Raw genomic sequence first — 13,011 nt, forward strand, 5'->3', positions numbered from 1 at the left:
AAACCCTGTCTCTCCTAAAAATACAAAAATTAGATGGAAATGGTGGCGGGTGCCTGTAATCCCAGCTACGAGGGAGGGTGAAGCAGGAGAACTGTTTGAACCCGGGAGGTGGAGGTTGCAGTGAGCCACTCCAGCGACACTGCACTCCAGCCTGGGCAACAAGAGTGAAACTCTGTCTCAAAAAAACAAAACAAATTGGGACAAGGAGAAATTTTTAAATATACTCCTTCCTTATAATTTGAGGAAAATAATTTTAATTTAAAATAAGAAGTACAACCAGGCACAGTAGCTCATGCCAATAATCTGAGCACTTTGTGGGGCCAAGGTGGGAGGATCGCTTGAGCCCAGGAATTTGACACCAACCAAGACAACATAGTGAGACACCATCTCTACAAAAAAACTTAAAAGTTAGCTCTGCGTGGTGGCGCTCGCAATTCAGGAGGCTGAGGCAGGAAGATTGCTTGGGCCCAGGAGGTAGAGGCTGCAGTGAGCTGTGATCACACCACTGCACTCCAGCCTGGGTGACAGAATAAGACCATGTCTCAAAAAAAAAAATCTATATATCTATCTATCTATATATATATCTATATATATAGATATATAGATATAGATAGATAGATATATAGATAGATATATTTTTTAAAAAGACAAAGGCCAGGCGCGGTGACTCATGCTTCTAATCCCAGCACTTTGGGAGGCCAAGGCAGGCAGATCACGAAGTCAGGAGTTCGAGACCAGCCTGACCTCGTCTCTACTAAAAATATAAAAATTAGCCCAGCATGGTGGCACATGCCCGTAATCCCAGCTACTTGGGAGGCTAAGGCGGGAGAATCGCTTGAAACCAGGAGGCAGAGGTTGCAGTGAGCCGAGATCGCGCCACTGCACTCTAGCCTGGGTAACAGAGCAAGACTCCATCTCAAAAAATAAATAAATACATAAATAAAAGACAAGTAAAATAAAAACATGTCTTTGATGCCTTGGAAGTAATGTGACACTTTTTATAAAAAGTCGGAGTAGAAGTAATAGTTTTGTCCAATAGCATATCTTTAACATCTGTGAAAAATCATGTTTAAAAAAGCAAAATTTTTAGGGGTCGGGCACAGTGGCTGACGCCTGTAATCCCAGCACTTTGAGAGGCCAAAGTGGGTGGATCACCTGAGGTCAGGAGTTCAAGACAAGCCTGGCCAACATGATGAAACCCTGTCTCTACTAAAAATACAAAAAAAAAAAAAAATTAGCCAGGTGTGGTGGCAAACACCTGTACTCCCAGCTACTCGGGAGGCTGAGGCAGGAGAATTGCTTTAACCTGGAAGGCCAAGGTTGCAGTGAGCCGAGATCGTGCCATTGCACTCCAGCCTGGGTGACAAGAGTGAAACTACGTCTCAAAAAATTAAAAAATGGGCCGGGCGCGGTGGCTTACGCCTATAATCCCAGCACTTTTGGAGGCCGAAGCAGGCGGATCACCAGGTCAGGAGATCGAGACTATCCTGGCTAACACGGAAAAACTCCATCTCTACTAAAAATACAAGATCAGCCAGGCGTAGTGGCATGTAGCTGCAGTCCCAGCTACTTGAGAGGCTGAGGCAGGAGAATTGCTTGAATCCGGGAGGCGGAGGTTGCAGTGAGCTGAGATCATGCCACTGCACTCCCGCCTGGGCGACAGAGCAAGACTCCGTCTCAAATAAATACATGAAAAAATTTTTCGAAAAGAGCAAAATTAAAAAAACTATCTTATACCTACAAAAAGTGGGGAGGTACCTGGAATAAAATGCTTAAAAGCATTTAAAAAATAAATTAAAGCCCAGTGCAGTGGCTCACGCCTATAATCCCAGCACTTTGGGAGGCCAAAGCGGGCAGAACACGAGGTCAGGAGGTCGAGACCAGCATGGCCAACACAGTGATACCCCGTCTGTACTAAACATACTAAAAATTAGCGGGGCTTGGTGGCAGGCACTTGTAATTCCAGCTACTCGAGAGGCTGAGGCAGGAGAATCTGGCCTTGAACCTGGGAGGCGGAGGTTGCAGTGAGCCAAGATCACACCATTGCACTCCAGCCTGGGCAACAAGAGTGAAACTCCGTCTCAAAAAAGAAAAATTAAATTAAATTAAAGCCACCAATACAGATTTATTTTTTTGAGGGGGCTCGTATATATTAAAAATAGAGGACACTCCAAAGACTACTACAATAGTTCACTGTTGCACTCCAGGAATTCTACTCCAAATTTTATATGCCTTGTAGGGTATACTGTAACCAGGGTACACTGTAACCCACGGCATGCAGCCCTATAGAGTGTGAAATCTAATATGAATGTGTAACCTAATGATTGCAAATCAGGAAACAAAACAGCACACATCAGCACGGGGAGGAGGTTAAAGGAATAAAAGAATCCTGTTCACACACTGATACGCAGAGTAATACACCCCAAGACACTGGGTAATATCATTCTTCTCCATTTTATCCTCAAGTTAGACAAAAAAAGAAAATAATTTCCTTCCTTTCCAGTTTTTTATAATCTCTCAATAAGTTCACAGGTCTAATCCTTTCTTTTTTGGAGACAGAGTCTCACTCTGTTGCCCAGGCTGGAGTGCAGTGGCACAATCACAGCTCACTGCAGACTCAAATGCTTGGGATCAAGCAAGCCTCCCACCTCAGCCTCCCAAAAGTACTGGGACTACAGGTACATGCAACCACATGCATTTAATTTTTTTTTTTTTTAAGATGGGTTCTCACTCTATCGCCCAGGCTGGAGTACAGTAGCACAGTCTTGGCTCACTGCAACCTCTACCTCCTGGGTTCAAGCAATTCTCCTGCCTCAGCCTCCTTAGTAGCTGGGATTACAGGTGTGCGCCACCAAGCCTGGATAATTTTTGTATTTTTAGTAGAGACGGGGCTTCACCATATTGGCTAGGCTTACACACGTTTAATTTTGATTCTTTGTATACATGAGCAATAAACTGTGTGAGGAAGAATTCATTGCAGAGGCAGGGCACAGTGGCTCATGCCAGTAATCAAAGCACTTTGGGAGGCCAAGACAGGTGGGTCAGACAGCTTGAGCCCAAAAGTTTGAGACCAGCCTTGGCAACATAGCAAGACCTTGTCTCTCCAAATATTTAAGACACCCTGTCACAAATAAATAAATAAATACATAAATACATAAATTAGTCTAATAGAAACTAAATTAAAGATAAATGATATTGGCCGGGCGCGGTGGCTCACGCCTGTAATCCCAGCACTTTGGGAGGCCGAGGCGGGCGGATCACGAGGTCAGGAGATCGAGACCATCCCGGCTAAAACGGTGAAACCCCGTCTCTACTAAAAAAATACAAAAAATTAGCCGGGCGTAGTGGCGGGCGCCTGTAGTCCCAGCTACTTGGGAGGCTGAGGCAGGAGAATGGCGTGAACCCGGGAGGCGGAGCTTGCAGTGAGCCGAGATCCCGCCACTGCACTCCAGCCTGGGCAACAGAGCGAGACTCCGTCTCAAAAAAAAAAAAAAAAAAAAAAAAAAGATAAATGATAATTCACTCCTGGATATGAAGATAGTTGCAATTTTTCTATTTCAAAGTACAGACTTCCTCACTATTAAAAATGTTGGTTGGGGCTGGAAGTGGTGGCTCATGCCTATAATCCCAGCACTTTGGGAGGCTGAGGCGGATGGATCAACTGAGGTCAGGAGTTCGAGACCAGCCTGACCAACATAGTGAAACCCCATCTCTACTAAACATACAAAAAATTAGCTGGGCGTGGTGGCGGGTGCCCGTAATCCCAGCCACTAGGGAGGCTGAGGCAGGAGAATTGCTTGAACCTGGGAGGCGGAGTTTGCAGCGAGTTGAGATTGCACCATTGCACTCCAGCCTAGGCCACAAGAGAGAGACTCCGTCTGATAAACAAAACAAAACAAAATGTTGGCTGGGCGGTGAAGTCCCACGCAGTAATCCTAGCACTTTGGGAGGCCAAGGCAGGAGGATCACTTGAAGTCATGAGTTGCAGACCAGCCTAGGGAACAAGTGAGACCTACTCTCTATTTTTTTTTTTTTAATAAAAAATAAGAAACCAGCCTGGCCAAACATAGTGAAACCCCGTCTTTACCAAAAATACAATAATTAGCTGGGCACAGTGGTGCATGCCTGTAGTCCCAGCTACATAGGAGGCTGACACAGGAGAACTGCTTGAACCCAGAAGGCAGAGGATACCATGAGCTGAGATCACATCACTGCACTCCAGCCTGGGCAATAGAGCAAGACCATCTCAAAAAAAAAAAAGAGGAAAAAAAAAAGAAAAGAAAAGAAAAAATATTGACAAGAAAATGAGTTATAATTAATATACCGCATAAATATCCATTCAGGTTTGTAAGAATAACACTTTTAAAATGCAGTTGGAAAAATAACTCATTGTTATTCACCCTGTTAAACATCTTTCTATAAAACGATATTATAAAAATCAAGCACAGTGCCCGCGCGTGGTGGCTCATGCCTGTAATCCCAGTACTTAGGAAGGACAAGGCGGGCAGGTCACCTGAGGTTAGGAGTTTGAGACCAGCCTGGCAAACACGGTGAAACCCCATCTCTAGTAAAAATACAAAAATTAACTGGACATGGTGGCACACCCCTGTAATCCCAGCTAGTCAGGAGGCTGAGGCAGGAGAATAGTTTGAACCCAGGAGGCAGAGGTTGCAGTGAGCTGTGATTGAGCCAGCCTGGGCAACAGAGGAAGACTCCATCTCAGAAAGAAAAAAAAAGCTAACGCAAATAATGTTTTGGCCGGGAGCAGTGGCTCATGCCTATAATTTCAGTACTTTGGGAGACCAAGACAGGCAGATTATTTGACGTTAGGAGTTCGAGGCAGCCAACATGGCAAAACCCTGTCTCTCTACTGAAAATACAAAAATTAGCCGGTCATGGTGGCGGATGCCTGTAATCCCAGCTACTCATGAGGCTGAGGCATGAGAATGGCTTGAACCCTGGAGGAGGAGGTTTCAATGAGCCAAGATCATGCCACAGTACTCCAGCCTCTGGGCGACAGAGCAAGACTTTGTCTCAAAAAATAGTAATAATAATAGGCCGGGCACAGTGGCTTTCACCTGTAATCCCAGCACTTTGAGAGGCCGAGACGGGCAGATCACAAGGTCACGAGTTCCAGACCAGCCTGGCCAATATGGTGAAACCCCGTATCTACTAAAAAATACAAAAATTAGCCGGGCGTGGTGGTGCACGCCTATAGTCCCAGCCACTCAGGAGGCTGAGGTAGGAGAATCACTTGAACCCGGAAGGCGGAGGTTGCAGTGAGCAGAGATCACACCGCTGCACTCCAGCCTGGGCAACACAGTGAAACTCCATCTCAAAAAATAATAATAATTAATGTTTTGATCCTTGCATATGTATCATTGACCACATTTCTGTTTACTTCCTTAGAATAATCTCCTAGAACTGGAACCGCAAGGTCAAAGAATAGGTACTTTTTGAGACTTTTACGCATATTGCCAAAATGCCCTCCAAAGACTAAACAATTCTTATTCTCACCAATGACAAGTTATTGAAGTGTCCATGTTAATCAAATGGCTGGTCTGTAAGGAACAACTAAGGTCTTGATTTTTTTTTTCAGACGAAGTCTCGCTCTTGTCCCCCAGGCTGGAGTGCAATGGCTTGATCTCAGCTTACAGCAACCTCCACCTCCCAGATTCAAGCTATTCTCCTGCCTCAATCTCCCGAGTAACTAGGATTACAGGTGCCTGCCACCACGCCCAGCTAATTTTTGTATTTTAAGTAGAGACAGGGTTTCACCATGTTGGCCAAGCTGATCTCGAACTCCTGACCTCAGGTGATCTTCCTGCCTCAGCCTCCCAAAGTACTGGGAATACAGGCATGAGCCACTGCACCTGGCCTAAAGTCTTGATTTTTTTTTTTTTTAACAAAGCAAGTGGCCAGGTGCGGTGGCTCACACCTGTAATCCCAGCACTTTGGGAGGCCGAGGCAGGCAGATCACCTGAGGTCGGGAGTTCGAGATCATTCTGACCAACATAGAGAAACCCCGTCTCTACTAAAAATACAAAAATTAGCCAGGCGTGGTGGTGCATGCCTGTAATCCCAGCTACTCAGGAGGCTGAGGCAGGAGAATCACTTGAACCCAGGAGGTGGAGGTTGTGGTGAGCCGAGATAGCGCCATTTCACTCTAGCTTGGGCCACAAGAGCAAACTCCATCTCCAAAAAAAGAAAAAAAAAAAAAAAGCAAGCACTGGATTCTTCTTGAACAAATATTTCTAGAATGCTTTTTAAATTAAGCGTTAAAAAGGAGTAATTATTTCAGTTTTGCATTTTTAAATTTCATCTCCCATCTCTTATTGCATTTAAAAAATCAGACTGAGGCCAGGCTCGGTGGCTCACGCCTATAATCCCAGCACTTTGGGAGGCCGAGGCGGGCGGGTCACCTGAGTTTGGGAGTTCGAGAGCAGCCTGACCAACATGGAGAAACCCCATCTCTACTAAAAATACAAAATTAGCCAAGCGTGGTGGCACATGCCTGTAATCCCAGCTACTAGGGAGGCTGAGGCAGGAGAATCGCTTGAACCTGGGAGGCAGAGGTTGCAGTGAGCCGAGGTCGCGCCATTGCACTCCAGCCTGGGCAACAAGAGCGAAACTCTGCCTCAAAAAATAAATAAATAAATAAATAAATAGTAAAAAATCAGACTGAGTTGTTACGTGTGCCTGTGAACAATGTGACTAATAAATCCCAATAAACATGTAATATTTGCTTCAATGATTCCAAGATTTGGGCTAGGAAAATATCAGCATCCTAAAATGATAATATATATAACCACTACTGCAAATGAAAGGATTATAATGGATAAGAAATATATTCTTTGGAAAATTTGCCCCCTTTCAAGTTCCTGAACCTACAGAGAAAAAACAAATAACAAATTTGCCCATTTGAAATGCTCGTTTCCTGGTGCCGTAAAGAAATAGTACTTGAACCTAAGTTTAATTTACTTAGCAAGGTCATTTTTATTTTTTGCAGAAAGGGTATACTCGCCAGCAGTTTTGCCACGAAAGTACACCGAACAAAGGAGACAGGGTCATTTATAACCTGACATGTCCACCCTACTGCTGTGTCCAGTTTCCATTGGCTGGAACGGGACCTCACAGCCTGTATTTGTCCCGACTGGCTAGCAACTTAGAACTTTTTAAAAGAGGCAAAGGCAGAGGAGCACAAGGGAAGGAGAAAGTAACCTGTGGAATGCTGGGGAAGGTAAAAAAAAAACACCTTTAAATAAGGAAGAGGAACAAGCTATGACCTAATGCTTGCTTGGAGCAGAATAAGCATGCCAGGGCAAATATTTAGGCTAAATTGTGGGAGCTAAGAACATAAAGCACATTGATTTTTTAATCATGGCTAGCAAATATTTAAGAATGTTAGCACAGGTCTTTGAATAAATTTTGCTTCTGAGAGAAGTTACTATTTATTCCTAATTAAATGGGGAAAAAAGTTTTTAAAGAGGAACCTCTACTTTACTTTTTACACCCCCAAACTTAAATTCCCTTTTTTGCCCACTTTCCACAATATTTTCATTCATTTTTATCTTTAGCATCTATTAACTCACCTAAATGCTTGTAATGGTGATTGTGAGCTTGTAATAAAACCTTTACTCGATCCAATGGAGCAACTGTTGTTTTGGCACAGCATCCAGCAATACCTAAAAATTTTTCAAAAGGTCAGGAAGAAATTGCGTACCATTTCTTTCCAGATGGAAATCATTAGTTGTTCAGCCAGCAAACCCTCTAATCTCTAATTCAGTCTCCATGAGTAAATCTGCCCACAGCGTATAGATATGCAGATGACTGGTCCCCATTTCCTGTAACTTAATAAGTGAGCATGATTACACTGCTAAAACTTACTAAAACAAATTTTAGTAGTGTAAATCGTCATCTAATACCTGAGGAAGGCTGGGAATCTTGCTAAAATGTGGTTATGGAGACAGACACTTCAAGGTATTAATCCAACTGCCAGGTTCTGTTTGAAGTAACCTCCTCTTCTTCTGGAACATTTTTACGGAGACAGACACTTGAAGGTATTTATCCGATTGCCAGGTTCTGTTTGAAGTAAACTCCTCTTCTTCTGGATCATTTTTCATTGAAACAACCAACTTTTACCCATAAAATTAGTCATCCATTTATACATTCAGCAAATATGTATTTCGACCCTACCATGTGCCACTGGGGAAAAGTATAGATGAAAGTAGAATAAAGTGCATACATGGGCTTTAGCATAGGTCAGAGTCCAGGCCAGCCCTTCGAGCTTGGCATGCTTCTAAAGCAATAATATAGACTTCTCTACAATACTGTACATCTAGTAATGACTTGAAAAAATGGGTTGCTCCTTTTATAAAAAGGTGAATAACAGGCCAGGCACAGTAGCTCGCACCTGTAATCCCAGCACTTTCGGAGGCTGAGGTAGAAAAATTACTTGAGACTAGGAGTTTGAGACCAGCCTGGGAAACACAGTGAGACCTCATCTCTACAAAAAATTTTTTAAAATCGGCTGGGCGCAGTGCTTCATGCCTGCAATCCCAGCACTTTGGCAGCTCGGGGCGGGCAGATCTCCTGAGGTCAGGAGCTCGACACCAGCCTGGCCAACATGGTGAAACCCCGTCTCTATCAAATATACAAAAAAATTAGCAAGGCATGGTGGCAGGCGCCTGTAGTCCCAGCTATTTGGGAGGTTAAGGCAGGAGAATCCCTTGAACCCAGGAGGCCGAGGTTGCAGTGAGCCGAGATCACACCATTGCACTCTAGCCTGGGCGACAAAGCGAGACTCCATCTCAAAGAAAAAAAAAAATTAGCAAGGCATGGTGGTGTGCCTCAGTACTCAGAGACTAAGGCTGGAGGATGACGTGAGCCAACAGTTGGAGGTCACGGAGAGCTATAATTGTGCGGCTTCGCTCCAGCCTAGATAACACAGCAACACCTGGTCTTTAAAAAACAACAAGTCCGGGCACGGTGGCTCACGCCTGTAATCCCAGCAATTTGGGAGGCCGAGGCAGGCAGATCACTTGAGGTCAGGAGTTTGAAACCAGCCTGGCCAATATGGTGAAACCCCATTTCTACTAAAAATAAAAAAATTAGCCGGGCATGGTGGCGGCTGCCTGTAATCCCAACTACTGGGGAGGCCGAGGAAGAAGAATCTCTTGAACCCAAAAGGTGGAGGTTGCAGTGAGCTGAGATCACACCATTGCACTCCAGCCTGGGTTACAGAGACTATGTCTTAAAAAAAGAAAAAAAAAGAAAACACAAATAAAATTTTAATTTTAAAAATCCATATTCTGAGATATCCAAAAATAAATTGTGGCTGGGAGCCGTGGCTCATGCCTGTAATCGCAGCACTTTGGGAGGCCGAGGCGGGCAGATCACGAGGTCAGGAATTCAAGACCAGCCTGGCCAACATGGTAAAATCCCATCTCTACTAAAAACACAAAAATTAGCTGGGCATGGTGGTGCGTGCATGTAATCCCAGCTGCTTGGGAGGCTGAGGCAGAAGAATTGCATGAACCCAGGAGGCAGAGGTAATAGTGAGCCGAGATCGCACCACTGCACTCCAGCCCGAGCAACAGAGCAGGTCTCGGTCTCAAAAAAACAAATAAAATAAATAAATAAATAAATAAATTAAATAAATAAATAAATAAAATGTATTTTTTACTCAGATATTATATCCACTATGTTTCCATATCAAAGCTCTCTTATCCGAACTAATGAAAATAATAGTTGGCCAGGTATGGTGACTCATACCTGTAATCCCAGCGCTTTGGGAGGCCGAGGTGGGCGGATCACCTGAGGTCGGGAGTTTGAGACCAGCCCGACCAACATGGAGAAACCCTGTCTCTACTAAAAATACAAAATTAGCTGGGTGTGATGACGTGTGCCTGTAATCCCAGCTACTTGGGAGGCTGAGGCAGGAGAATCACTTGAACTTGGGAGGCAGAGGTTGTGGTGAGCCGAGATCACACCATTGCACTCTAGCCTGGGCAACAAGAATGAAACTCCGTCTCAAAAAACAAAAAAAGGCTGGGCGCAGTGGCTCATGCCTGTAATCCCAGCACTTTGGGAGGCCGAGGTGGGTGGATCACGAGGTCAGGAGTTCAAGACCAGCCTGGCCAAGATGGTGAAACCTTGTCTCTACTAAAAATACAAAAATTAGCCAGGTGTGGTAGCGGACACCTGTAATCCCAGCTACTCGGGAGGCTGAGGCAGAGAATTGCCTGAACCCGGGAGGCAGAGGTCTCAGTGAGCTGAGATTGTGCCACTGCACTCCAGCCTGGGTGACAGAGTGAGACTCCATCTCAAAAAAAAAAAAAAAGTAAATCATAATCATAGCTATCCAAAATTATGGGTAAACTAAAAATAATATGCATTTGGATACATTTGGTTTCAGAATATTTTATATTATCTTCTCAGTTGTGTATGAATTAACTGTATAATGAATTATTTAGGCCAGGTGCAGTGGCTCTCGCCTGTATTCCCAGCACTTTGGGAGGCCGAGGTGGGCAGATCATCTGAGGTCAGGAGTTCGAGACCAGCCTAGCCAACATGGTGAAACCCCATCTCTTCTAAAAATACAAAAATTAGCCAGGTGTGGTGGCACATGCTTATAATCCCAGATACTTGGAAAGCTGGGGCAGGAGAATCGCTTGAACCCGGGAGGCATAGGTGGCAGTGAGCCGAGATCATGTCACTGCACTCCAGCCTGGGCGACAAGAACGAAACTCCGTCTCAAAAAAAAAGAGAGAAATTGTTTAGAATGTATTCAATAAGTACTTTTATATAATAGTATCTTTTTTTTTTTTTTTCCAGGGCTGGAGTGCAATGGTGCGATCTCGGCTCACTACAACCTTCACCTCCCAGGTTCAAGCGATTCTCCTGCCCCAGCCTCCCGAGTAGGTGGGATTACAGGAACCCACCACCTCGCCCAGCTAATTTTTTCTTTTTTTAGTCTTTAGTAGAGAGAGGGTTTCACCATGTTGGCCAGACTGTTCTTGAACTCCTGATCTCGTCATCCACCCGCCTCTACCTCCCAAAGTACTGGGATTACAGGCATGAGCCACCGCACCCAGCCTATTTAATAGTATCTTAACTTGCTTTCACACTACGATAGTCCCCCCTTATCTGCAATTTCACTTTCTGCAGTTTTAGTTACCACCAGTCATCCATGTTCAAAAAATATTAGATAGACAATCTGTAAATAAACAATTGACCCGGGCACAATGGCTCATGCCTATAATCCCAGCATTTTGGGAGGCCTAGGTGGGAGGATCACTTGAGGTCAGGATTTCAAGACCAGCCTGGCCAACTTGGTGAAACCCCGTCTCTACTAAAAATACAAAAATTAGGCCAGGCGCAGTGGCCCACACCTGTAATCCCAGCACTTTGGAAGTCCGAGGCAGGCAGATCACCTGAGGTCAGAAGTTCGAAACCAGCCTGACCAACATGGAGAAACACTATCTCTACTAAAAATACAAAAATTAGCTAGGCCTGGTGGCACATGCCTGTAATCCCAGCTACACGGGAGGCTGAGGCAGGAGAATTGCTTGAATCCAGGAGGCAGAGGTTGCAGTGATTCACAATTGCACCATTACACTCCAGCCTGGGCAACAAGAGCAAAACTCTGTCTCAAAAAAAAAAAAAAAAAAATACAAAAATTAGCCAGGCGAAGGGCCAGGCATGGTGCCTCACATCTGTAATCCCAGCATTTTGGGACGTTGAGGCGGGCAGATCGCAAGGTCAGGAGATCGAGACCATCCTGGCTAACATGGTGAAACCCCGTCTCCACTAAAACTACAAAAAATTAGCCGGCATGGTGGCACGTGCCTGCAGTCCCAGCTACTCGGGAGGCTGAGGCAGGAGAATCACTTGAACTTGGGAGGCAGAGGTTGCAGTGAGCCGAGATCGCGCCACTGCACTCCAGCCTGGTGACAAAGTGAGACTCCGTCTCCAAAAAAAAAAGGAACACACAGACACACACATACTCACATTTAATATCAAGTGCCAACAAGGCAGTGGGGATACAAAATGGAATAGACACTTTAGAAATACTTTGACAGTTTCTAATTAAAACCGGCCGGCTGTGGTGGTTAATGCCTGTAATCCCAGCACTTTGGTGGGCTGAGGCAGGAGGATCACTTGAGCTCAGTTCGAGACCAGCCTGGCCAACATGGCAAAACCCCATCTCTACTAACAGTACAAAAACTAGCCAAGCAACACACCTGTAATCCCAACTACTGTGGAGTCTGAGGTGGCAGAATCGCTTGAACCCAAGAAGCGGATGTTTCAGTGAGCAGAGATGGTGCCACTGCACCCAGCCTGGGTGACAAAGCAAGACTCCATCTCAATAAATAAAAAATAAACACAACGAGGACTGGTGCAGTGGGTCATGCCTGTAATCTTTTTTTTTTTTTTTTTTTTTTTTTTTTTGAGACGGAGTCTCGCTCTGTCGCCCAGGCTGGAGTGCAGTGGCGGGATCTCGGCTCACTGCAAGCTCCGCCTCCCGGGTTCACGCCATTCTCCTGCCTCAGCCTCCCAAGTAGCTGGGACTACAGGCGCCCGCCACTACGCCCGGCTAATTTTTTGTATTTTTTTTTAGTAGAGACGGGGTTTCACCGTTTTAGCCGGGATGGTCTCGATCTCCTGACCTCGTGATCCGCCCGCCTCGGCCTCCCAAAGTGCTGGGATTACAGGCGTGAGCCACCGCGCCCGGCCATGCCTGTAATCTTAACACTTTGGGATGCTGAGGTGGGCAGATCACTTGAGGTCAGGAATTGGAGACCAGTCTGGCCAACATAGTGAAACCCGTCTCTACTAAAAATACAAAAATGAGCTGGGCGTGATGGCGCACACCACCTGTAGTCCCAGCTAATCGGGAGGTTGAGGCGGTAAAATCGCTTGAACTCGGGAGCCAGAAGTTGCAGTGAGCTGAGATCATGCTGCTGCACTCCAGCCTGGACAACAGAGAGAGACTCTGTCTCAAAAAAA

The 13,011-nt window shown here is 45.2% G+C and overlaps 1 protein-coding gene across 7 annotated transcripts in view; it reads right to left on the minus strand.

Moving 5' to 3' along the window:
• SLC25A16 (solute carrier family 25 member 16) overlaps window positions 1-13,011 on the minus strand; it is a 49,526-nt gene that overhangs the window by 31,161 nt on the left and 5,354 nt on the right. For 4 of the 7 annotated variants that reach the window (NM_001324317.2, NM_152707.4, NM_001324312.2 and 1 more), the window contains exon 2: window positions 7,593-7,685. Coding sequence is in view for 3 of the 7 variants with exons in the window: in NM_152707.4 (NP_689920.1) it covers window positions 7,593-7,685 (93 nt within the window). In the remaining 4 variants the exon portion in view is untranslated. Of the gene's footprint in view, window positions 1-7,592; window positions 7,686-7,925; window positions 9,061-13,011 lie in introns of those variants that run through there. The other 3 variants (NR_136737.1, NM_001324315.1, NM_001324314.2) reach the window with 2 other exon arrangements.

Source organism: Homo sapiens, chromosome 10, assembly GCF_000001405.40.
Source record: "Homo sapiens chromosome 10, GRCh38.p14 Primary Assembly".
NCBI classification, from domain to species: Eukaryota; Metazoa; Chordata; class Mammalia; order Primates; family Hominidae; genus Homo; species Homo sapiens.